Raw genomic sequence first — 26,542 nt, 5'->3', positions numbered from 1 at the left:
CCTCCCTGCCCCCCACCAGTAGACCAAAGGCTAAAATTTAAAAGAGTCTCTTTTCCCACTCTGCAGAAAAAGCACCTGGCTTGCAAAAACAGGTAAGTTATGAGACATAGGTCATTTTTCCTTGTTTCTGACTTTTCCCTTTAAAGATCCATTTAACAGTTACATATAGGCCGGGCGCGGTGGCTCACGCCTGTCATCCCAGCACTTTGGGAGGCTGAGGCGGGTGGATCACGAGGTCAGGAGATCGAGACCATCCTGGCTAACACGGTGAAACCCCGTCTCTACAAAAAATACAAAAATATAGCTGGGCGCGGTGGCGGGCGCCTGTAGTCCCAGCTACTCGGGAGGCTGAGGCAGGAGAATGGCGTGAACCCGGGAGGCGGAGTTTGCAGTGAGCCGAGATCCCGCCACTGCACTCCAGCCTGGGCGATAGAGCGAGACCCCGTCTCAAAAAAAAAAAAAGTTACATATAAAACTCTCATATCACATAAAAACTAATTTTCCTTGAGCCTCAGGCCTTAATTCAGCATGAGGGGCATGTCTGTGTGTTCTCCACTTGTGTGTCATGAGGTTCCTGTCACCAACAGGCCACTTAGACTTCCTGCCTATGGGCAGGCCTGGCCCCTCCTGTGCCTGGGGCCCCATTGATGGAGGCAGGAGGCAGAGAAATCCTACGCAGACAGGGGCGGGTCCCTGGCAAAACCCCACCTTCGAGCCGAAAAGCCTGAAACCCATGGCCCAAAGTGAGAACCTCTATCCCCGTGTGCCTACTCTCTCCCCACTGGTTCTTTCGGAGTAATGTCTTTTTACCAATAGAATGTTGCTTTTTCCAAAACTACCTAGGGCCCACCCTGCCCCCTATCTTGTGCCTATAAAGACCCCAGACTTGGTAGTGAGAGAGAAGTAGCTTCACTGGAAACAGGTGACTTGACTTCAGAGGGATGGCTGGACTTCCAAGGAGAGACGGTTTAACTTCGGAAAGACGTCCTGACTTCAGGGAAGAGCCAGCCAGACACCTGGACCAGAGGAAGATTCCCCACCTGACCCATCCCCTCTCCAGCTCCCCTCTCCATGGAGAGCCATTTCCATTGCTTAATAAAATTCTCCACCTTCACCATCCTTCAAGTGTCCGGGTGACCCCATTCTTCTTGGATGCTGGACAAGAGCTTGGGACCCACCGAGTGTGGGTACCTAAAAGAGGCTGTCACATTGGCCCTGGCAGAGGGCAGCCACCCTAGGCAACAAGGCAAGGGACCCACTGAGCTGATAACACACTACTGTCCATAGACGGCGGAGCTAAGAGAGCACTGTAACATGCCCTCTGGAGCTTCGGGGGTTGCAGGCACCTCAATCTGGGCACTGCTGCAGGGCCTGCACGGAGCTTGCTCCTGCCAGCTCCCAAAGCAGCTGGCCAGATGCCACACTCACTCACGTGCTCCCTCCCACAAGGGGTTGAGCACGGCGGGCCAAGTAAACACAGCATCCCTGTCGCAAGTCCAACGAAGGGGTCAGGAAAAATCCCGCACCCCCATGATGGTGAGATCCTGGGCCCTTGTTCTTCTCTGTCCTCTCAGTAAGACTCCGAAGCGCTCTTCTAGGGACAGACTATAAGGGCTGGATCAGAAACAGAAACACGGAGCTGTGATTCACCCCATCCCTGCCCACAGAGAGGCACTGCTGAGATCTCTTGGCTGTCGCTAATGGTCTGGGGTTCTCCAGCTTGCCTTCACGCCCTGAAAAGACTGCCCCCAAACTTTTGGTACCTTTGTGAGCCTCCATTCCATGTCTCCCAGCAACGACTCCTTCCAGCCATGCTCCGCGGGGAATTGGATTTCCACCAGCCGCCTCCAGACCTGCAAAACCCGCACACAGGTCACACCCACTCTCACGACTAAATGCCACGGCACACTCCCATGAAAGGAGAAAGACAGAGCATTACGGCAATACAGAGAGCGCGGGACTCCGCGAACACCAGGGCTCTCCCCAACCTTCATCAACAGTCAGCCATGCTAGTGGCCGGTCACAGCAGCCCAGGTTGGCTTTCTAGAATCAGAGACCCAACCAGGGGCCACTACTGGTCCTCCTACTGCACAACCGGCTTTTTATTCTGAAAGGACTTATCTCTCATGTTATACTTTGAAAATTTTTGAACTTTCAAAAAGGTCGCAAGAATAGCACACCACCACCCACATTCATTCAACTCCAGTCCTGTGCGATTCACGCTTCACACAGCTGCTTTCACTCTTCCTCTCTCCTCTGTGCTCCCTCTTCGGACTCTGCACAAATGAGCATTTTCTCTCCCAAACCGTTGGAAAGTAAGTTGCAGGCATCATGGCACCTTGCCACTACATACCTGGGCAGGGTCTCCTAAGACCCTAGCCCTTCCCTGTGCAACTCCAGTGCAGGTTTCCCACTCAGGACGTGCAACGTGGAGAGGAGGACACTCTGCCCCCAGGAAGTGGTCTCCACCCCCGTTCCTCTCGTGCTCCAGCTCCTGTCCTGACTGGATCCTAGATCCTCCTGGGACACACGCTGTACTTACTTATCACGTCTCTTTTCTGCATTTACTTATCACATCTCTTTTCTAGAAGAGTTCCCTGGTCATTTTTTTCTTTTTTCTTTTAACATGTTGACAGTTTTGAAAAGTTCAGGCCAACTGTTTTGTAAACTGTCTTTTGACCTGATTTGTCTCATAATTTCCCCATGATTTGATTCAGATTAAAATATTTTTGGCAGGGACACTAGGAGGTTGAAACACATGAAAATGCACTGTAAAAAAAATATTTTAAGAGACAGGGTCTCGCTCCGTCACCTGGGTTGGAGTGCAGTGGCACAGTCATAGCTCACTGCAGCCCTGACCTCCTGGGTTCAAGCCACCCTTCCACCTAGGCTTCCTAAAGAGTTGGGGTTACAGGCATCAGCCATAGTGCCCAGCCAAAAATGAAAATGAACTTTTCTTAGGTCAGGCATGTTCAAATATCTATCACCTCCACCACCACCATTATCTCCATAACCTCCACCACCTCCATCACCTTCACCACTATCACCTCCACCACCACCATGACCTCCAGTACCTCCACCACCTCCACCACCAGCATCACCACTGTCACCTCCACCACCACCACCTCCATCACCACCATCACCTTCACCACCACCATCACCTCCATTACCTCCACCATCACCTCCACCACCACCACCACCACCATCACCATCACCACCACCACCACCACCACCACCTCCACCACCACCACCACCACCACCACCACCACCAGCATCACCACTGTCACCTCCACCACCACCACCATCACCTCCAGTACCTCCACCATCACTTCCATTACCTCTACCATCACCTTCACCACCACCATCACCTCCAGTACCACCACCATCACCTCCATTACCACCACCACCATCACCTCCACGGACCACCATCACCTCCAGTACCACCACCACCACCACCATCACCTCCATTACCTCCACCATCACCTCCACGACCACCATCACCTCCAGTACCTCCACCATCACCTCCAGTACCTCCACCACCACCACCACCACCACCTCCATTACCTCCACCATCACCTCCAGTACCACCACCACCACCACCATCACCTCCATTACCTCCACCATCACCTCCAGTACCACCACCACCACCACCATCACCTCCATTACCTCCACCATCACCTCCACGACCGCCATCACCTCTAGTACCTCCACCATCACCACCACCACCATCACCTCCATTACCTCCACCACCACCACCACCATCACCTCCATTACCTCCACCATCACGTCCACCACCATCACCTCCAGTACCTCCACCACCACCACCACCATCACCTCCATTACCTCCACCATCACGTCCACCACCATCACCTCCATTACCTCCACCATCACCTTTACCACCATCACCTCCAGTACCTCCACCATCACCTTTACCACCATCACCTCCATTACCTCCACCATCACCTTCACCACCACCATCACCTCCATTACCTCCACCATCACCTTCACCACCACCATCACCTCCAGTACCTCCACCATCACCTTCACCACCACCATCACCTCCACCATCACCTACACGACCACCATCACCTCCAGTACCTCCACCAACACCTTCACCACCACCATCACCTCCAGTACCTCCACCATCACCTCCACCACCACCATCACCTCCATTACCTCCACCACCACCACCACCACCACCATCACCTCCATTACCTCCACCATCACCTTCACCACCACCATCACCTCCATTACCTCCACCACCACCACCATCACCTCCAGTACCTCCACCATCACCATCACCACCATCACCTCCATTACCTCCACCATCACCTCCAGTACCTCCACCACCACCACCACCACCACCTCCATTACCTCCACCATCACCTCCACGACCGCCATCACCTCCAGTACCTCCACCACCACCACCACCACCACCATCACCTCCATTACCTCCACCACCACCACCACCACCACCATCACCTCCATTACCTCCACCATCACCTTCACCACCACCATCACCTCCATTACCTCCACCACCACCACCATCACCTCCAGTACCTCCACCATCACCATCACCACCATCACCTCCATTACCTCCACCATCACCTCCAGTACCTCCACCACCACCACCACCACCACCTCCATTACCTCCACCATCACCTCCACGACCGCCATCACCTCCAGTACCTCCACCACCACCACCACCACCATCACCTCCATTACCTCCACCATCACGTCCACCACCATCACCTCCAGTACCTCCACCATCACCTTTACCACCATCACCTCCAGTACCTCCACCATCACCTTCACCACCACCATCACCTCCATTACCTCCACCATCACCTTCACCACCACCATCACCTCCACCATCACCTACACCACCACCATCACCTCCAGTACCTCCACCATCACCTTCACCACCACCATCACCTCCAGTACCTCCACCATCACCTCCACCACCACCATCACCTCCATTACCTCCACCACCTCCACCATCACCACCACCACCACCATCACCTCCATTACCTCCACCATCACCTTCACCACCACCATCACCTCCAGTACCTCCACCATCACCTCCACCACCACCATCACCTCCATTACCTCCACCACCTCCACCATCACCACCACCACCACCATCACCTCCAGTACCTCCACCATCACCTTCACCACCACCATCACCTCCAGTACCTCCACCATCACCTCCACCACCACCATCACCTCCATTACCTCCACCATCACCTTCACCACCACCATCACCTCCAGTACCTCCACCACCTCCACCACCAGCATCACCATTGTCACCTCCACCACCACCACCTCCATCACCACCATCCCCTTCACCACCACCATCACCTCCATTACCTCCACCATCACCTCCACAACCATCACCATCACCACCATCACCTCCACCACAATCACCATCACCTCCACCACCACCATCACCTCCACCACCTCCATGACCACCATCACCACCATCACCTCCATTACGTCCACCATCACCATCACCTTCACCACCATCACCTCTACCACCACCACCACCAACCATCACCATCACCTCCACCACCATCACCTCTACCACCACCACCACCAACCATCACCATCACCTCCACACCTCCATCACCACAGGGACTGTGCCCGGCCAGGGGACACGAGGCAGTGCAGCAGCACTTTGCACCCGGCATCTGTCTGCCTCAGAGCCACCCTGCCAGGTAGACAGGAGCAACTCCATTTTGTAGATGAAGAACTGAGGCTCAGGTGAAGGCCAACAACTGCCCCTGGCCAGCAGCCTGTACCCCATGATTTGAGGCCATGAGGAATCACGATCAGTCACATCCCTACCCAGAAGCCTTCGGCCAAATGCCTACCTCAATTTCCTTGACGTATGTGAATGAGGCACCTGAAGATGTGAGCATGTTCTTTGTAAAAACTTCTCGGAGCCACCTTTTCGTAGCAGCAAGGGTCCCTTGGAAGACTGTTTGGACTGAATTATTTCCAGTTTCATCTCTCTGTCCTGCAGAATCCTGTTGTCACACAAGAGGGAGGGTCAGTCATCCTCGGCTGTGGACTCAGGTTCCCGGCGAGATGCTGCACCCCCTCCTCTCCTCCCTGCTGGCACAGGCTGCTCAAGGAGTGGCTACGATGGAGGGACCACAGGCCTTGGCAGAAGCCCACATTCCCAAAGCACTTCCATTCCCCAGGGTTTTCTGGGTTCACCCTGAACGTGGGAGATACGGGAGAAAAGAGGGAGGGAGGGAACGGCATCTGTGTGCTCCCCCGAAAGCCCAGGCAGCCTCTGTCCTGCCAATGAGCAGGTCCCCAGGCTGTGCCCAGGAGACTGAGGGGGAAAAGCACGCCCCAGAGAGGGGCCCTGCAGACTCCCGGGCCTGTTCCTTAGACACAGGAGACAGCCAGGCTCCTGACCCGGAGGTAAACCTGGGTCCCCTTCCCACTGTGCTCCCATCATGCCCTCCCCCTGCCTCCATGCCAGACCACAGCCAGGCTCCTGACCCGGAGGTAAACCTGGGTCCCCTTCCCACTGTGCTCCCATCATGCCCTCCCCCTGCCTCCATGCCAGACCACAGCCAGGCTCCTGACCCGGAGGTAAACCTGGGTCCCCTTCCCACTGTGCTCCCATCATGCTCTCCCCCCGCCTCCGTGCCGGACCCACCAGACCAGAGGGAAAACCCCTCTTCCCCTGGGCTCAAAGCCTCCTGTAATGCCTCCCTTCTCTCCCCTGCCTTCCTCTTCCTCCCTCTCCTTCCTCCTCCCTCTGTCCTCCCCAGAAGCACATTTCCCAGGAAGCATACAGGTCAGGGGTCAGGGCCACCTCCTCCTGGGAGGAGCCCCACAGTCCTGGATTAATGTGTGGTCTTTTTCTTTTCTTTTTCTTTTTTTTCTTTTTTTTGAGACAGAGTCTCACTCTGTAACCCAGGCTGGAGTACAGTGGCGCGATCTTGGCTCACTGCAACCTCCACCTCCTGGGTTCAAGTGATCCTCCTGCTTCAGCCTCCCAAGTAGCTGGGATTACAAGTGCATGCCACCATACCTGGCTAATTTTTGTATTTTTTAGTAGAGACAGGGTTTCACCATGTTGGCCAGGCTGGTCTCGAACTCCTAACCTCTGGTTATCTGCCTGCTTTGGCCTTCCAAAGTGCTGGGATTACAGGTGTGAGCTACTACACCCAGCCAAGTGTGTGATCTTTTTTTTTAAGCACAGCCCCGCACATCGTGCAAGTGTCAGGAGCCACAGAACCTGGATACGCTCAGGTGCTCACTGGAAGCACCGAGAGGCCCACGCCTCGAGGCAGCTGGGCAAGAGGACAAGGCTGCTGCTGGGCGGGGCTGCCCGAGAGTGGGAGAGAGGAAAAGCCCACAGCAGGCAGGGGAACACAGCGTCACTATACCTGGGAAGGGCCAGGGCGGGAAGATACAGGCAGGAGCTTTCAAAGCATGTAAGAGGGACCAGGATGCAGGTGCTGCTGTGAAAGAGAGCCCGCAGAGGGGGCTGGGCACAGGAGTGACTAGAGCACAGCACGCAGGGGGCGGGGGCCGACAGAAAACGAAACAGGCACTGCTGAAGGTCCCCCCAATGGCACAGCTCCTTCTAGAACAATCCAGCAGCACAGGGCTGGACAGCGATGGCCAATAACAACAAACTGAATGACCGCTCAGAGGCTGCACAGACCTCCGGAGCCTGACACGGGCACCTTGTTCTCCAAGTGTCCGTCAACCCTGGAGCCTTCACAGCAGCAGACACCTAAAAGTTTCTTCAACATGCGTCACGTATTTTTGCTTTGTTTAATTTTAGTATTGCAAAGGTTTTTTGTTTGTTTGTTTGCTTTTATGGCACAGGTAGAGAGTATTTTGTCCATAATATGGATTAAACTTATCTGAGATCCCAGCCAACATTTAAGATAGTTATTTCTGTAGAAAATAAATCCTAAGTAACTGACAAATTCCTTAAACACAGTTTATGTGGAAGTTGGCAGCTGCCTGTGGCGGTTTAAATAGCAGCCACTCCAGAGAACGTGATCATCTCACCAATGACATTTATTCTTAAACTGTGTCTGTGGTACTTTAACACAAGAAAACTGAAAGGAAGAAAGTTAAAACATACACTTAATTGTTTTCTATCACTAACGTCACAGTTCTAACTTGAAGTAAGATTAAAAAAAATGATCAGCCGGGTGCAGTAGCTCATGCCTGTAATCCTAGCACTTTGGGAGGCTGAGGCAGGCGAATCACCTGAGGTCAGGAGTTCAAGGCCAGCCTGACCAACATGTAGAAATCCTGTCTCGACTAAAAATACAGAATTAGCTGGGTTTAGTGGCACATGCCTGTAATCCCAGCTACTCGGGAGGCTGAGGCAGGAGAATCACTTGAACCCAGGAGGCGGAGGTTGTGGTGAGCCGAGATCACGCCATTGCACTACAGCCTGGGCAACAAGAGTGAAACTCTGTCTCAAAAAAAAAAAAAATTGTGCTGGGTGCAGTGGCTCACATCGGCAATCCCAGCACTCTGGGAGGCCAAGGCAGGTGGATCACGTGAGGTCAGGCGTTTGAGACCAGCTTGGCCAACATGGTGAAACCCTGTCTCTACTAAAAATACAAAAATTAGCTGGGTGTGGTGGTGCACACCTGTAGTCCCAGCCACTTGGGAGGCTGAGGCAGGAGAATCACTTGAACCTAGGAGGCGGAGATTGCAGTGAGCTGAGATGGCGCCACTACACTCCAGCCTGGGCAACAAGAGCAAAACTCCATCTCAAAAAAACAAACAAATGATCAGTCTAAACATTAAACCTTACATCACTTTCAAACTGAAACTCATGAACTCAAGTGGGTGAAAACTGCACAGAGACGGGAAAGAAGGAATTGCCGATCTCTGCACCACACAGACAGAGCTCAGAGACATGGGGGTGAGTGGGGAAAGTCGGAGGCAGAAAGGTCAAAGCTGGAAGACAGGTAAAACTGATCCATGGGAGGCTGGGCGTGGTGGTTTAAGCCTGTAATCCCAGCACTTTGGAGGCCAAGGCAGGCGGATCATGAGGTCATGAGATCGAGACCATCCTGGCTAACACGGTGAAACCCCATCTCTACTAAAAATACAAAAATTAGCCAGGCGTGGTGGCAGGCGTCTGTAGTCCCAGCTACTTGGGAGGTTGAGACAGGAGAATGGCGTGAACCCAGGAGGCGGAGCTTGCAGTAAGCCGAGATCACGCCACTGCACTCCAGCCTGGGTGACAGAGTGAGACCCCGTCTTAAAAAACAAAAAACAAAAAACAAAAAAAAAACTGATCCATGGGAGAAGTCACAACAGTGGCTTTCTTTGGGACGGAGGAGCCGGGTCATCCTGCCATCAGACCTGGGACACGACATGCAGCGGGGGGCAGATGTGTGGCGCTATGGCCTTTGTTACTGTATTCAAGCTACAATGTCAAGAAGGTGGGAAAGACCATGTTTGGACATGTATTTTTTGGGAGGAAAATGGTCCCCGTAGTTCTCTGCAAACAACAGAATCAAGAAAAAAGAAAAGTCGTCTTCTCCGCGTGGCGTTGCCTGACCCCCAGCCCCTGCGCCAGCTCTCTGGTTTCCCCATGACCAGCTGATGGCCACACATTAACTCCCTGCCTCCCTCCCAGGAAAGCCCAAGGTGGCAGAAGGGCAGACCCTGGCCCACTGACACCCCCCACACCCAGAACAGAACCCAGCATCAAGCAGGTGCACAAGAAATGTCCACTGCTGAAACCACCGCTCCATCTCATCCCAGCACCCGGGAATCAGTCTGTTTCCTTTCCAAATTGAGGCTGCTTGAAATTCCGCACCTATCCCGGGTGTGATACCTTGTGTGTTGACTCCACTTACCACCAGAGATAGAAGTCTAATCATTCTGCAGACAATCTCGGCAGATAAGGCTGGCAGCTCGTAAAACTTAAGTAGCTTTGTGCTGCTGCAGATGGCTTCATGCAGTTTCAGACACACAGTCAGGTAGGATGGTGACAAGGCCTCCTCGGGAATCCTGCCCCGCAAAGAGTTAAGAGAAATCCCGGCAAGGATTTAGGAGAAGCCAGAAAATGGTTACCATTGATGACTAGCTCCTTCCTTCAAAATAACTACCAACAGGGCATTTGTTTGACCTTATCTAGGTTAACGTCTGGAAAATCTCAGTCAGTCCTGAACTTGTGACTAAGATAAAAAGGAAGCAAAGTCCTCTTGTTTTGTCTCTGTAGTCTCAACTGTTCTAACCAAAGCAAGTCCAAACACTCCTCAGTGCGTTCCAAGATGTGAAAAAAGGCAAGGGATGTTTATTACTAGACATTAAAATATGACATAAATTTGAAAAAATATTCAGAAAGAAACAGAAAGGAGGGAGGAAGAGAAAGAAATAGTAGAAGAGCGTGCAGCCCGTGTGGAATTGGCTCCAGCTCTGCCGGGCCTGGGTTTTGTGTTTTCTGAGGGACACATGGACAGAGCAGGGACTTAGGAGGAGCCTTAGGAGGGACTCGGTAGGGACTCGGGAGGAGCCTTAGGAGGGACTCAGGAGGGGACTTAGGAGGAGGCTTAGGAGGGACTCAGAAGGAGGCTTAGGAGGGACTCAGGAGGAGCCTTGGGAGGGACTCAGGAGGGGACTCAGGAGAGACTTAAGAGGACACTTAGGAGGAGCTTAAGAGGAGAGTTGATGGAGGGGACTGGGAAGGCGGTGTAAGAAAGGACTCCCTGGGCTGAGAATGTGACACACAGTGGTGGGGAGATAGGGAGCTTGTGGGGGGGATCCTCAAGTCACAGGTGCTGGATCAACATCGGCAGAGACGTGAACAAAGGAGGTGAACGAAGACTGGAAGTGCCCGAGCCGCTCAGAGAACAGCTCAGACAACACCCATCCCATCGCTCACTGGCACATTTCAGTGGTTCTGCATTCTGTCTGCTGACCCCTCAGGGTATCAGAGGTCACAAATTTGCAGGAGCAAATGATTTTGGATAATTATATAAAGCTACCTTTGATTTTTATCTTAAACTGACTAAGTATTAAAAAAATGCAGAACGCCCACCAGGCATATGCAGTATCATGACTATTTACAAGTAAGGGAAAAATGTATAGGAAAAAAGATCAGGGGGAGATAAACCCAAATCTTAGCAGCTGATATCTATTATTTCCCTTTAAAAAAAAAAAAAAAAAAAAAACAGACGGCCAGGCATGGTGGCTCACGCCTGTAATCCCAGCACTTTGGGAGGCCCAGACAGGCGGATCACCTGAGGTCAGAAGTTCAAGACCAGCCTGGCCAACATGGTGAAACCCCATCTCTACTAAAAATACAAAAATTAGCCAGGCGTGGTGGCATGCGCCTGTAATCCCAGCTACTCAGGAGGCTGAGGAAGGAGAATCACTTGAACCTGGGAAGCAGAGGTTGCAGTGAGCCAAGATGGTGCCATTGCACTCCAGCTTGGGCAACAAGAGTGAGACTCCATCTCAAAAAAACAAACAAACAAACAAACCAACACACAAAAATTAGCTGGGCGTGGTGGGGTGCGCCTGTAATCCCAGCTACTCGGGAGGCTGAGACAGGAGAATCACTTGAACCAGGAGATAGAAGTTGTAGTGAGCTAAGATTGCGTCACTGCACTCCAGCCTGGGCAACAGAGTAAGACTCTGACTCAAAAAAAAAAAAAAAAAAACAGACGACAATATTAATAACCTGAGAAGAGAAGTGGGCCACATATTAATTTATGACCTTGCTGTTACAACAGCACATGTGGGTCACGGCCAATTATAGGGGTCAGAGGAAGCCCCCGGGGGCCGCATGTGAGGGAGAGACTGCATCGTGCTTTCCACTTACTTGTCCCGGTAAGTGTCCAGGAGTCGCAACAGCATTTCTAAAATGTTCTGAACGTTCTGAACATCCTGAACATCCTAAGGCAGAGAAAAAAAGAAAAACAGGACAAAAGATTGAATCACAATGCCACTGTCATTGCTAAAACAGAGCTGAAAAAAATCCAACATCAATATGGTATACATTGTTTTCTTCCTACAAACAAATTTTAAGGTGCTCACATACTAATCTTACCTCTTTTACAGATAAAACTCAGGATTTAAACTTATACCATTTTCTCCACCAAAAAATGTGAAAGGAAGAATGGCAGCTACGAAGTGCATCACATGAGACGCCTTCTTTTTTTTTTTTTTTTTGAGATGGAGTCTCGCTCTGTCACCCAGGCTGGAGTGCAGCGGCGTGATCTCGGCTCACTGCAAGCTCCGCCTCCCGGGTTCACACCATTCTCCTGCCTCAGCCTCCTGAGTAGCTGGGACTACAGGTACCCACCACCACGCCCAGCTAATTTTTTTGTATTTTTAGTAGAGACGGGGTTTCACTGTGTTAGCCAGGATGGTCTCGATCTCCTGACCTCGTGATCTGCCCGCCTCGGCCTCCCAAAGTGCTGGGATTCAGGCGTGAGCCACCGCACCCAGCCCACTGTCTGTTTTTTAGGAATAAGAATCCTGAGCTTTCCATGTTTAGTTATCTAGTCTGCTTTTGCTAAGCCAGGACTCCAGAGCCGACTTCAGACACAAACCTGCGTATTCAAGACTTGCTCAAGTCCCGGAAGCCGGTAGTAAATCCCTGAAAGACAGTCCAGGATATGAGCAGGAAAACGACCCAGGTGCTCAATGAAGTTTTCCATATACATAACCAGGTGACTCAGAGGTAGCAGACTAAACCAGGACCGGAAGAGAGGCTCGTCTATGCTCAGCAAATGCTGCTTCTCTCTCATAAACTGAAGTAGGGAACTCCTGCATAAGAGAAATAGGGACGGAGAAAAGAGACGCAGTGAGATCAGTGAGGGAAAATGGAGGAAACCAATGCTGGAGGGACAGAAACAGTCCCGAATTCAAAAATGATTTAAATACTACTTGAGGGCAGGCGTGGTGGCTCACACCTGAATCCCAATACTTGGGAGGCTGACTCGGGAGGATCACTTGAGCCCAGGAGCTTGAAACCAGCCTGGGGAACCTAGTGAGGCCCTGTCTCTACTTTAAAAAATAAAATAAAGGCTATGTGGAAAACAAAAATATGCAGTGAATCAAATGAAAAGTACAGAACAACCTACTGAGAATTAACTTAATGGCCGGGCGTGGTGGCTCACGCCTGAATCCCAGCACTTTGGGAGGCTGAGGCAGGTGGATCAGTTGAGGTTAGAAGTTTGCAACCAGCCTGGCCAACACGGTGAAACTGCGTCTCTACTAAAAATACAAAAATCAGCCAGGCATGGTGGCACATGCCTGTAATCCTGTAATCCCAGCTACTCAGGAGGCTGAGGCAGAAGAATCACTTGAGCCCCGGCGGCAGAGATTGCAGTGAGCCGAGATCACGCCACTGCACTCCAGCCTGGGCAACAGAGTGAGACTCTGTCTCAAAAAAAAAAAAGGAAAGAAAAAAGGAGAATTAACTTAATATAGAATTCAGAATACGGAATAAGAATTCACTGCTGGCCATTCTGGGCATGCTCCTATGGGGTAGCCCTGTTCTACAAGGAGCAGTAATATTAAAAAATAGTAATAAAATCAGGCCGGGCGCAGTGGCTCACGTCTGTAATCCCAGCACTTTGGGAGGCCGAGGCAGGCAGATCACCTGAGGTTGGGAGTTCAAGACCAGCCTGACCAACATGGAGAAATCCCGTCTCTACTAAAAATCCTAAATTAGCCAGGCGTGGTGGCGCACACCTGTAATCCCAGCTACTTGGGAGGCTGAGGCAGGAGAATCACTTGAACCCAGGAGGCAGAGGTTGCGGTGAGCCAAGATCGTGCCATTGTACTCCAGCATAGGCAATGAGACCAAAACTGTCTCAAAAAAAAAAAAAGTTCACTGCTGGGTGCAGTGGCTCATGTCTGTAATCCCCACAACTTGGGAGGCCAAAGCAGGAGGATGGATAGCTTGAGGCCAGCAGTTTGAGACCAACCTGGGCAACATAGCAAGATTCCATCTCTACAAATAAATAAATAAATACACAAAAAGAATTCATTGAGATGGATGAATCTTGACATTATGCTCAGTGAAATAAATCAGACACAAAAGGACAAATCCTGTGTGATTCCACTCACGTGAGGTCCCCAGAGAAGTCAAAATCCTAGAGACAGAGAGGAGAACAGTGGTTACCAGGAGGAGGGGGAGTGTGGAGGTCGTGTTTCATGGGGATGGAGTTTCAGCTGGGGAAGCTGAGTTCGGGAGGTGGATGGTGCTGACGGCTACACAGCAGTGTGAATGTGCTTGGTGCCAGGGAACTGTGCCTTGAAAAGGAGTTAACATGGTAAACTGGAGATTATGTATATTTTACAATAAAAGGGATATACCCCAATAATTAAGCCTCTTAATTATTATTATTATTATTTATTTATTTATTTATTTGTGTTGGAGTCTCACTCTGTTGCCTTGGCTGGAGTGCAGTGGTGTGATCTCGGCTCACTGCAAGCTCTGCCTACCAGGCTCACGCCATTCTCCTGCCTCAGCCTCCCCAGTAGCTGTGACTACAGGCGCCTGCCACCACGCCCGGCTCATTTTTTGTATTTTTAGTAGAGATGGGGTTTCACTGTGTTAGCCAGGCTTGTCTCGATCTCCTGACCTTGTGATCCACCTGCCTTGGCCTCCCAAAGTGCTGGGATTACAGGTGTGAGCCACTGCACCCAGCCAAGCCTCTTAATTATTATTAACGAGTGTCCAGGATCAAACAGCCCAAGTGGGCTCAGCGAAGGCCCTTAAATAATGCTGATTCTGGAACACAGTACTGGAGACCCAAAATGTTGACAATGGAAAAGAAATAAAGCAAGGCTCCCTAGAAGTAACAGAAGTTATGAAAAACATATCAATAAAGGTTCACTGCATACTAAAGGCCACTTTTACCTGAACGATTGGATCTTTAGGAACAATGCTACTGCAGACTTTTCAAGATATTTAAAGATAAGTACATAAAAATAGCAATAATAATAAAAGGTACTCTATATTTCTACTATATCTAGCCTTTCTAGGTAAATATGGACCATCCATGGGTCTGACTATATTGACTGTTTTCTCTCTTGATCATCTAGTGGCCTCTTCTGTTATCAGGGGCTGAGTTAATAGTTTAGATGAACTACAGCTTTGTTGTAGCTTTAATTAGAATTGGTTCCCAACGGCTGGCCAGGCACAGTGGGTGGCTCACGCCTGTAATCCCAGCACTTTGGAAGGCTGAGGCGGGCAGATCACTTGAGGCCAGGAGTTCAAGACCAGCCTGGCCAACATGGCAAAACCCATCTCCACTAAAAATACAAAAATTAGCCACATGTGATGTGTGATGACATGCACCTGTAGTCCCAGCTACTTGGGAGGCTGAGGCACAAGAATCACTTGAACCTGGGAGGCGAAGGTTGCAGTGACCAGAGATCGCGCCACTGTACTCCAGCCTGGGCGACAGAGCAGGACTGTCTCAAAAAAAAAAAAAAAAGAAAAGAAAAGAAAAAAGAAAAGGAATAGAATTGGTTTCCAAAGGCTTTTACGCCTTCTAAAGGCAAGACCGTAACACTGCCTTTAGCAGAAGTTGGGATCCAGGGGCACAGAGCAACTGCCTCATTTTTTCTGCTGTCCCCAGTCTTTGGCATTTGGCAGGCTCTGAGCATCATGCTTTATGAGGGGGCGTCTCTTTCAGTTCTCCAGCCCCTTTCCCAATTGGATGGTCACTGTCTTGTTCTCACTGCAAGGCCCAGAGTGCTGCAGTCATTACCTCTGTTCTCCTACCCTACCTTCAGACCTTAGCAGATTCTGTGGCCTGAGCCTCCAGGCTAGGGGAAGGAGGAATTTCCAGAGCTCTCTCATCAATAGGACTTACTGATGTATTAACTGCCTGCCTCTCCAGCTAGAATGCAAGCTCCACAAGGCCAGGAGCAGCTGTCTGTTTTGAGCAGTGCTGTACACGCTGTGCCTTGAGTAGTACTTCCTGGCACAAGGAAGGTGCTCTTCAAGTATTCATCCAGTGAATGAATGAATACATTCTAGCACATTAATAAGAGAAAGACCATTTCAAGGCCAAAATAAATTAATCTATTTTGCTTAGAAGGGTTAATCTGTGGTCATTATGACTGTTCTATTAAATAACCCAGTATTCAGTATTTCAGAGAGATTATACTTAAAGAGAAAGTTTGTGGTTACCTGTCAAGAATCTGAAAATAAAGATGCTTTTATTTCAACTTCTAGGGAATCTGGACTTCTACCACTGCAGCCTTGACCTCCCTGGCTCAAGCGATCCTCTCATGTAAGCCTCCCAAGTAGCTGGGACTGCAGGTACACCCCACCATGCCTAACTATTTTTTTTGTTTGTTTTTTTGTAGAAACTGGGTTTTACTATGTGCCCAGACTGGTCTTGAACTCCTGGCCTCAAACAATCCTCCTGCCTGGGCCTCCCAAAGTACTGGGATTATAGGCATGAGCCACCAAGCCCAGCTGCTTTTATTATTTTTAAACTGACACATAATAATTGTACATATTTATGGGGAACAGTGTTATATTTCTATATATGTATACAATACATAATGTATACAAATGCATACAGAGAATACATTTTATGCACTGTATATACATATAAATATGTCTACAATGTATACTATGTACAAAGTATACAGTCTGTAATCTGTACAAATATATGGATACAATATATATGCATACAGTGTATAATGTGTACAAATCAGGGTAATTAGCATATCTATCTCAAACATTTATTTCTTTGTGTTGGAAACATTCAAACTCCACTCTTCCAGCTATTTGAAAAACGTAATAAATTGTAAATTACAGTCGTTCCATACTGCTCTAGGACCCTAGAACTTACTCGTCCTATCTAGCCATACTTTTGTATCCACTAGCCAACCTTTGGCTAGCCCTCTCCCCATCCTTCCTCGCCTCTCGTAACTACTATTCTACTCTCTCCTTCTAGAAGATCAACTCTTTTCACATCCACGTATGAGTGGGAATATGCAGTATTTCTCTTTCTGCGCCTGGCTTATTTCACTTAACGTAATCTCCTCCAAGCTTGTCCATGTTGCTGCGAAAGACAGAATTTCATTCTTTTTGGTGGCCAAATAGTATTCTACTGTGTATATAGACAACACTTTCTTCATCCACTCATCTGCGGGTGGACACTCAGGATGATTCCATATTATGGCTATTGAGTGTTACGATAAATATAGGAGTGCAGCTATCTCTTCAACATACTGATTTCCTTTACTTTGGATATATCCCCAGCAGTACGATTGCTGGATCATACAGTAGTTCTATTTTTAGTTTCTTCAGGAACCTTTATACTGTCCTCCATAGTGGCAGTACTAATTTACATTCCTACACTGTATGAGAGTTTCTCTTTCCCACATCCTCACTGGCATTTATTTTTTGTCTTTTTGATCACAGCTATTCTAACTTGGGTAAGACCATATCTCATTGTGGTTTTGATTTGCATTTCCCTAATTAATGATGCTGATCATTTTTTCATATGCCTGTTGGTTATTTGTGTGTCTTCTTTTTAGATGACTACTCAACTCATTTGTCCATTTTTAGATCTGAGTTTTTCTGTTCACTTGTTTGAGTTCCTTAAATCCCCCTATCCAACGTGTAGATGACAAATATTTTCTCCCATTCCGTGGACTGTCTCTTCACTCTGTTGATAGTTTCCTTTGCTGCACAGAAGCTTTTTGATTTGATGTAATCCCATTTATCTCACTTTACTTTTGTCGCCTGTGCTTTTAAGGACTTCTCCATAATTTTTCTCCAATCTTTGCCCAGACCTAGGCAATACCATTCTAGACATAGGAATGGGCAAAGATTTCACGACAAAAATACCAAAAGCAATCACAAGAAAAGCAAAAATTGACAAATAAGAACTAATTAAACTGAGGAGCTTTTGCACAGCAAAAGAAACTATCAACAGAGTAAACAGATGACCCACAGAATGGGAGAAAATTTTTGCAAAATATGCATCTGACAAAGGTGTAATATCCAGCATCTATAAGGAACATACACAAATTTACAAGAAAAAAAAACAAGCAACCTCATTAAAAAGTGGGCAAAGGACATGAACAGACACTTTTCACAAGAAGACATACATGTGGCTAACAGGCATATGAAAAAAAGCTCAACATCACTCATCATTAGAGAAATGCAAATCAAAATCACAATGAGGCCGGGCATGGTGGCTCACACATGCAATCCCAGCACTTTGGGAGGCCAAGGTGGGCGGATCACTTGAGGTCTGGGGTTTGAGACCAGCCTGGCCAACATGGTGAAACCCCATCTCTACTAAAAATACAAAAATTAGCCAGGCATGGTGGGGTGCCTGTGGTCCCAGCTACCCAGAAGACTGAGGCAGGACAATCACTTGAACCTGGGAGGCAGAGGTTACAGTGAGCTGAGATTGTGCCACTGCAATCCAGCCTGGGTGATAAAGCGAAACTCCATCTCAAACAAAACAAAACAAAAACCACAATGAGGCCAGGCGTGGTGGCTCATGCCTGCAATCCTAGAACTTTGGGAGGCCGAGGCAGGTGGATCACTTGAGGTCAGGAGTTGAAGAACAGCCTGGCCAACATGGTGCAACCCTGTCTCTACTAAAAAGACAAAAATTAGCCACATGTGGTGGCGCACACTACCAATCCCAGCAGAATCGCTTGTGCCGAGGAGGCAGAGGCTGCAGTGAGCTGAGATCACACCACTGCACTCCAGCCTGGGTGACAGAGCCAGACTCTGTCTCTTAAAAAAAAAAAACAGTGAGATACCATCTTAACACCAGTCAGAATGGCTGCTATTAAAAGGTAAAAAAATAACAGATGCTGGTGAGGTTGCGGAGAAAAAGGAATGCTTATGCACTGTTGGTGGGAGTGTAAATTAGTTCAACCATTACGGAAGACAGTGTGGCAATTCCACAAATACCATTCACCGCAGCAATCCCATTACTGGGTATATACCAAAAACAATATAAATCGTTCTATTATAAAGAAACATGCCCATGTATGTTCATTGAAGCACAATTCACAATAGCAAAGACATGGAATCAAACTCAATGCCCATCAACAGTAGACTGGATAAAGAAAATGTGGTACATACACACCATGGAATACTATGCAGCCATAAAAAAGAATGAAATCATGTCCTTTGCAGGAACATAGATGGAGCTGGAGGCCATTATCCTTAGCAAATTAACTCAGGAACGAGAACCAAATACCGCAGGTTCTCACTTGTAAGTGGGAGCTAAATGATGAGAACACAGGGACACATAGAGGGGAACAACACACACTGGGGCTTATCAGAGGGTGGAGGATGGGAAGAGGGAGAGGATCAGGAAAAATAGCTAATGGGTACTAGGCTTAATATTTGGATGATGAAATAATCTGTACAAAAAAACTCCATAACACAAGTTTATCTATATAACAAACCTGCACATGTACTCCTGAACTTAGAAGTTAAAAATAAATAAATAAATAAATAAATAAATAAATAAACTTTCTCTGGTAATATTTTCTTGTGATAAAGGAGAGGTCATTATATTTGAATCAGAGATCAGGATTATATATATTGCCAATATTCCTCTCCTTTAAGCCAGCATTATGCAAAGGTATAAATGGTTTAGAGTTCACAATGCCTTTGACCTAGCAGTTCCACTTGTAGGAATCTATCTCAATGAAGTTATGGGACAGAGAAAGCTAAGGATGCTTATGAAAGCACGCTGAAAAAACGAAACTGCACAACCAACCAAATGTCCTGTAACAGAGAACTGGCTCAATACAAGGCTGGCACTCTCTCTGGCTGGAACGCTAAGACATAGACAAGAATTTGCTGATGGAAAAAATGGTTCACAAAATACTGTTAAGAGGAAAAATCAGGTTGTAAACCAGAATAAATAACACATCATTTGTTGTTGTTCTTTTAAGTACATAAAACACCCACGAATCCATATTTGGACAAAACCACAAATAGGTATGCCACCGTGCTAACAACGGCTGCCTCTGAGGTTACAAGTTGTTTCTGTATTCTTGATAGTTTTTTGTTTGTTTGTTTTAGACAGAGTCTCGCTCTGTCGCCCAAGCTACAGTGCAGTAGCATGATCCCAGCTCACTGCAACCTCCACCTCCCGGGTTCTAGTGATTCTCCTACCTCAGCCTCCAGAGTAGCTGGGATTACAAGCACATGCCACCACACCTGGCTAATTTTTTTTTTTTTTTTTTGGTATTTTTCGTACAGACGGGTTTTCACCATGTTGGCCAGGCTGGTCTCGAACTCCTGACCTCAGGTGATCCACCCGTCTCAGCCTCCCAAAGTGCTGGGATTACAGGCGTGAGCCACTGTGCACAGCCTATTCTTGACAGTTTTGATGTCTTAAAATGTTAAAAGAGCGTGTGTTAGTTCTGTCATTAGAATCAGGAATGGAGTCACTGCAGAGCCCACCGGGACTCCGGGTGCACAATGTAGGAGTCAGTCTTCCCAGATTCATGTAGATAAGCACAACTCTACGACTTACGTATCTAGCATTTGTTCCCGGAACGGTGAGAAGGAGAGTCCCTCCAGAGCGGCCCAGGTGTCCTCAGGCTGTCTCCAGGCATCCTTGTGCCGCGGGGCCAGCTCCATACAGCAGTGCAGGACAGGCAGGGCGCCCAGCCAGGTGTACGTCCTTGTGTCCATGCATCTTTGGCACAGGTTCACCAGGTACAGCCGCCAGCTGGAAGGGAATAAAGATCCCGCAGTGAGCTGAGCTGGCCAGGGAGTCATCTCCCTGGGAGTCTGGAGTCCCAACAGGAAGCAAGCACCGTGCACACAGAGCAAGAGGAGCACCGCGCGTGGCTGAGCAGAGTTTAACTCACGCAGGAGACAGGGCTTCCCTCAGCCCCCAGCCTAGGGCGTCAGCTCCTTTGCAGGCCCTCACCGAATCCCCACAACAAACTCCCAGGACAGGGGAGGGATCTCAGAAGCAGGGGTCCTGGCTAAGTAGTCAACGCAGGGTCCTGACTGACAGAGCTGGGGTTTGAACCCAGGCCATCTGGCAACAGTAAATCTAAATATAAAGCAACTTGTAAAATTTATTTTCATTGTTTAGAGACAGAGTCTCACTCTGTCATCAAGGCAGCGCGGTGGTGCGATCATTATAACCTCGAACTCTTGGGCTCAAGGGATCCTCCTGCCTCAGCCTCTCCAGTGCTGGAATTACAGGTGCACCACCACACCCAGCTAGCTACATTTTTTTTTTTTTTTTTTTGAGACGGAGTCTCACTCTGTTGCCCAGGCTGGAGCGCAGTGGCACGATCTTGGCTCACTGCAAGCTCTGCCTCTCGGGTTCACGCCATTCTCCTGCCTCAGCCTCCCGAGTAGCTGGGACTACAGGTGCCCGCCACCATGCCTGGCTAGTTTTTTGTATTTTTTGTAGAGACAGGGTTTCACTGTGTTGGCCGGCTCTATTTTTTATTTTAATTTTTGTTTCCCAGACTGATCCTGAACTCCTGGCTCAAGCAATCCCTCCTGCCTCAGCCTCCCAAAGCACTGGGATTACAGGTGTGAGCCATAATGCCCGGCCAAAACAACTTTTTTTTTTTTTTGAGATGAAGTCTCACTGTGTCGCCCAGGCTGGAGTGCAGTGGCACAATCTCGGCTCACTGCAACCTCCGCCTCCTGGGTTCACGTGATTCTCCTGCCTCAGCCTCCTGAGTAGCTGGGATTACAGGCATGCACCACCACGCCCGGCTAAATTTTGTATTTTTAGTAGAGACAGTGTTTCACCATGTTGGTCAGGCTGGTCTCGAACTCCTGACCTTGTGATCCGCCTGCCTCGACCTCCCAAAGTGCTGGGATTACAGGCGTGAGCCACCGTGCCCGGCCCCAAAACAACTTTTTAAACGTAAGGGTTGAGCCTATAAACAATACATGGTGAATCTCCTACAGTCAAAAGATATTAATGATTCCTCATACTTTAAGCCCCGGCACTAACTCTGTACATTGCCTTTGCCTCCACTCCTCCTCTTTGTCAAAATGTGCGGCGTTTATTTGGTTGTTTTTTATTTGTAAAACCAGGCCAGGCACAGTGGCTCATGTCTATAATCCCAGCACTTTGGGAGGTCGAGGCAGGCGGATCACAAGGTCAGGAGCTCAAGACCACCGTGGCAACATGGTGAAACCCCGTCTCTACAATAAATACAAAAATTAGCTGGAAGTGGTGGTGTGTATCTGCAGTCCCAGCTACTCAGGAGGCTGAGGTGGGAGAACCACCTGAGTCTGTGAGGCTGAAGCTGCAGTGAGCTGATTGCTCCACTGCACTCCAGACTGGGGGAACAGAGTAAGACACTGTCTCAAAACAACAAATAAATAAATGTGTAAAACTGAGAGGCAGATGTCGTGATAAGACATGCTGGTCAGGAAAGGCTACCTAATGTCATTCTCACGTTCAAATCAACACACGCAGAGAGAGTGCAGAGCTCAGTGGGGTCTGAGCAGGTACCAAGTCAAAGGCCATCGCCTTCTCACCACTGAACATTTCAGGCCCAGGACAGTCACACTGTGTTTCCTGAACTAGACACGGCACAGGCAGGGGCATGGGGAGAACATTCACGCTGCTTCTGCAGATGTCCTTGAGGGGATGAGTTCAGGCTGGCGTCACGCCACAACCTCCTAAACACGCGCACACAGAGGCTGCTCATGATACCACACGAAGCTTCAAAAAGCAGGGTATTCAGACCCAGCACGGTGGCTCACGCCTACAATCCTAGCACTTTGGGAGGCCGAGGTGGGTGGATCACTTGAGGTCAGGAGTTCGAAACCAGCCTGGCCAAAATGGTGAAAACCCTTCTCTACTAAAAATACAAAAATTAGCCATGTGTGGTAGTGTGCACCTGTAGTCCCTGCTACTAAGGAGGCTGAAGCAGGAGAATTGCCTAAACCTGGGAGGTGGAGGCTGCAGTGAGCCAAGATTGCGCCACTGTACTCCAGCCTGGGCCACAGAGTGAGACGCCGTCTGGGGGGAAAACAAAAGGCAGGGAATTCAACAGAGGACAGAATATAATAAAAATAAGACAGATGCTAGGAAAAACTACTGACATGACCACAGTGAGTGGTAAAATCACGGGTGGTTTTATTTCTTGCCTGTGTGCTTTCAGTCACTCTAGTCAAGCACTTATTTTTGCAATCAGAGAAAATCATTATAATAGCTATAAAAAACATTTTGACAAAAAATAATAATACCTCTGAGGTATCCCAAGGATGTGGCTTAGGTCACGGTGAAACTCATCTGGTGAGCTGGCATCTGAGGTTAGGAGGTGACACAACCAGTCCAGGCTGCCTTCTAATAAAAGCTCAATTTTTTCCACTACAAAAAGGACAATCAGGCCTGTTTTCAGTTTACTCCTCACTGGGCAGTCCACAGGCAAAAAGTCCGTGCTTTTTCCGTCCGGCAATGGTACCACGTGTTTTTTCAGATGTTGCCACAGGTATCTCTTCACCTGATGGTGGGAGAAGAGGAAGATGCATGAACCATGGACTTGAATTCACCGGCAGTGTCCAGAGCTGCCCCAGCACCACAGCTAGGGCAGCAGACCCCATCCGTGCCCCACCACCACACCTGTGAGAGCCACAGGAGGAGCTGCAGTGCAGCCAAGACCCTGGCATGAGGGCTCAGGCAGGGCCCCTGAGGCTCATCAGGGCTCAGCTTCAGCTCAGAAACAGCTCCAGGCCGGCCTGAAACCCACCCAGGCTGCACCGCAGTGTGGGTAAAGGTGCAGTGACAGAGGGTGCCCCGTTCCTTCCACTCTCCCTCCAAGGCCAGGGGAGGACTCAGGACTGGTGCTGGGGTGGGGCTGAGATTACAACCAGTAAAAGGAGGAAAATGGGGGAGGGCAGAGAAATCCCAAGAGACAGTGGTAGGAGAAAAGGCTGGAAAGTTCTACACATTCCCATTTGCAACCTGGCCCACAGAGTCAAGGGGTCATCCGGCCACTAGCAGGTCAGGTGTGGCTCCTGCCCAGCAGGTAGAGCAGCTGGTGGCAAGCCTGATACCTCTTTCTCCCTGTACTGCAAATCGGTCCACAGCTGTGCCTGTCCTTCATAAATCATAGGCTGTTGCAGGACAAAGCAAAACTGCTCGAACTGGGTGAAGAAGCTGTTCAGGTTGATGGTGTCCCAGGTCTGCAGGATGCTGAAGGTGCTGTCCAGCATGAGCGCAGCGGCAATCTGCTTCCCCTTCACCAGGTCCTTCCTCGGCCCGTCTGTGATGTGGTTCATGACTTTCTGGAGTCTCCCATGAGGCTTCATATAAACTATGTCATAGTACTGATGCCAGTCTAAGAGGGACAGAAGGAACAAGAGCCTACCTAAGACCATCAAAACCCTGGAGACCTAGACACTAGCCTAGAAGGCTGATCACGACTGGTACAGATATGGAGTAAATGGGGCAGAGGAAGGGAGGAAGGGAAAAGCAAAAACCCACACACTGACGACAGCCAGACTCCTCCAACTGACTTCTCATCTGAGGCCAGCCCCGTGCAAACAGACATCCTAGACGTCCCACAGTAATGAGTGGAAAGCCCAGGGTCATGGGATGCAGCGGGCCTGAGACTTGCAACGGATCTCTAACTATGTAGCTCAGCAAACTTGATCAACAACTTCCTTAAACATCATCACAAGGAGGTGGAATGTGTCATACAGAAACCGCATCCCCCCACTAGCAAGTGAGCACTGTCCTGGTCAATCACTGAGTTGGTTTCCTCTGTACTAGGAACGGGACACAGCCCCTGGAGGAAGGTGCAGGCTGCCCAGCTGGCACAGATGGCCCTTGGCATGGTGGCTGACACAGGGCAAGGGCTGAATTCGTGACTGTTCTTAGGCTCCATTGCAAACGATATGAGTGCAGACCTCATTGCAGAAAACCCAGTGAGGTTGACTGTAAAATAATTAGAAAACCCAAGATGTCAATGACAGGGTCAGAGGCCACGTGAAGACCTACAAACAGAAGTAAAAATCAGGCAGAAATGGGAAGCGCCCGGACAGGCCTCCTCAGCCCCCTGCCATGCTTTCGACCCACAGTTGTCTAGACTGGCAGGCCCGCCCACCCCAGCTCTGCACCCTGGGCCCAGCAGGGCCTGCAACTGTTTAGTTCTCAACTCGGTCATCACCTCCTTGTGGAAGCTTCTGCCGACCTCCAGGTCAAATCCCCTATCACATGTTTTTTTTTTTTTAGACTGAGTCTCCCTCTGTCGCCCAGGCTGGAGTGCAGTGGCACGATCTTGGCTCACTGCAAGCTCCGCCTCCCGGGTTCACGCCATTCTCCTGCCTCAGCCTCCCGAGTAGCTGGGACTACAGGCGCCCGCTGCCAAGACGCCCGGCCAATTTTTTTGTATTTTTAGTAGAGACGGGGTTTCACCGTGTTAGCCAGGATGGTCTTGATCTCCTGACCTCGTGATCCGCCCGCCTCGGCCTCCCAAAATGCTGGGATTACAGGCGTGAGCCACCACGCCCAGCCACCACGTGCCCTTTTAACCGAGCCATCAATGCCATGGCATTTATCAGAGCAGGAATTCCATATTTATATATATAGAATTCCATATTTAAATGTATTTATATATGGAATTACCGGACTAATGCCTATTCTTTCAAAGCTTATGTTCTCAGAGTACACTCTCTAGCTAGTAAAAATCATGTTTGGCTGGGCACAGTGGCTCACGTCTTAATCCCAGCACTTTGGGAGGCCAAGATGGGCGGATTGCTTGAGCCCAGGAGTTCGAGACCAGACTGGGCAACACAGCAAGACCAGTCTCTCCAAAAAAAATATATGAAAAATTTGCCAGACATGGTGACACACGCCTGTAGGCCCAGCTACTTGGGGGGGCTGAGGGGGAGGATCAGCTGAGCCCTGGTGGTTGAGGCTGTAGTGAGCCGAGATCGTGCCACTGCACTCCAGCTTGGGTGACAGAGCGAGATCCTGTCTCAGAAAAAAAATATATATATATGTTTACAAAAACGAAAAAATATATACTCTATAAAGTTCTTAGGACTTCTGTCTTTGTCCAAGGTGGAGTGACAGGGACTAAATTTACATTCTTCTGTATCTGCCTAAAACAACACATGAACAACATAAACAGTAAAACAACTGTTTCCAAGACACCGGACACCAGGGGGCAGGGAGGCCCTGGTTGCCAAGGGAAAGCAACAACCAGTTGACCCCAGCTCACTTCCTTGAGTTTCAGGGTCACTGTGCAGGGAGGGGGAGCGAGGGGAAGCCCAGGACCCCCCAGGTGAGGAGGCGGCACTGGGAGTCCAGGTGATCAACACAGTCAAGTCTTGATCTCTGTCTGTCAAGTTTGCAGACAGAGAACCCAGGTGGGGGACCCCCGAGAGAGGCATGAAGGGGCGCAGAGGGCTCTGCGAGAAGGGAAGCGCCCGCGTCTATTGACAGATGGGCAGAGGGGCTGATGTGCTGAGGATGACAGCCAGCAGGAGCCTGCAGACGGGGCTCTGGATGTCATCTCCAGTCAACCATCTGAAAATCTCTAGAGAAGGGACAAG

General features: G+C 49.4%; 1 protein-coding gene across 12 annotated transcripts in view; it reads right to left on the bottom strand.

The window, feature by feature from the left end:
- Positions 1 to 26,542, bottom strand: part of RNF213 (ring finger protein 213) — a 137,943-nt gene that overhangs the window by 79,754 nt on the left and 31,647 nt on the right. For all 12 annotated transcript variants that reach the window (XR_007065355.1, NM_001256071.3, XM_047436482.1 and 9 more), the window contains 8 exons: positions 24,038 to 24,321; positions 23,228 to 23,484; positions 20,523 to 20,720; positions 12,573 to 12,789; positions 11,840 to 11,913; positions 9,870 to 10,023; positions 5,874 to 6,029; positions 1,764 to 1,853 (listed from right to left, as the gene is read on the bottom strand). Coding sequence is in view for 11 of the 12 variants with exons in the window: in NM_001256071.3 (NP_001243000.2) it covers positions 1,764 to 1,853; positions 5,874 to 6,029; positions 9,870 to 10,023; positions 11,840 to 11,913; positions 12,573 to 12,789; positions 20,523 to 20,720; positions 23,228 to 23,484; positions 24,038 to 24,321 (1,430 nt within the window). In the remaining variant the exon portion in view is untranslated. The remainder of the gene's footprint in view (positions 1 to 1,763; positions 1,854 to 5,873; positions 6,030 to 9,869; positions 10,024 to 11,839; positions 11,914 to 12,572; positions 12,790 to 20,522; positions 20,721 to 23,227; positions 23,485 to 24,037; positions 24,322 to 26,542) is intronic.

The sequence above is a fragment of the Homo sapiens genome, chromosome 17, assembly GCF_000001405.40.
Source record: "Homo sapiens chromosome 17, GRCh38.p14 Primary Assembly".
Classification (NCBI taxonomy): domain Eukaryota; kingdom Metazoa; phylum Chordata; class Mammalia; order Primates; family Hominidae; genus Homo; species Homo sapiens.
The sequence above is the reverse complement of the archived record's forward strand: the minus strand, read 5'-3'. Positions and strand labels throughout refer to the sequence as shown.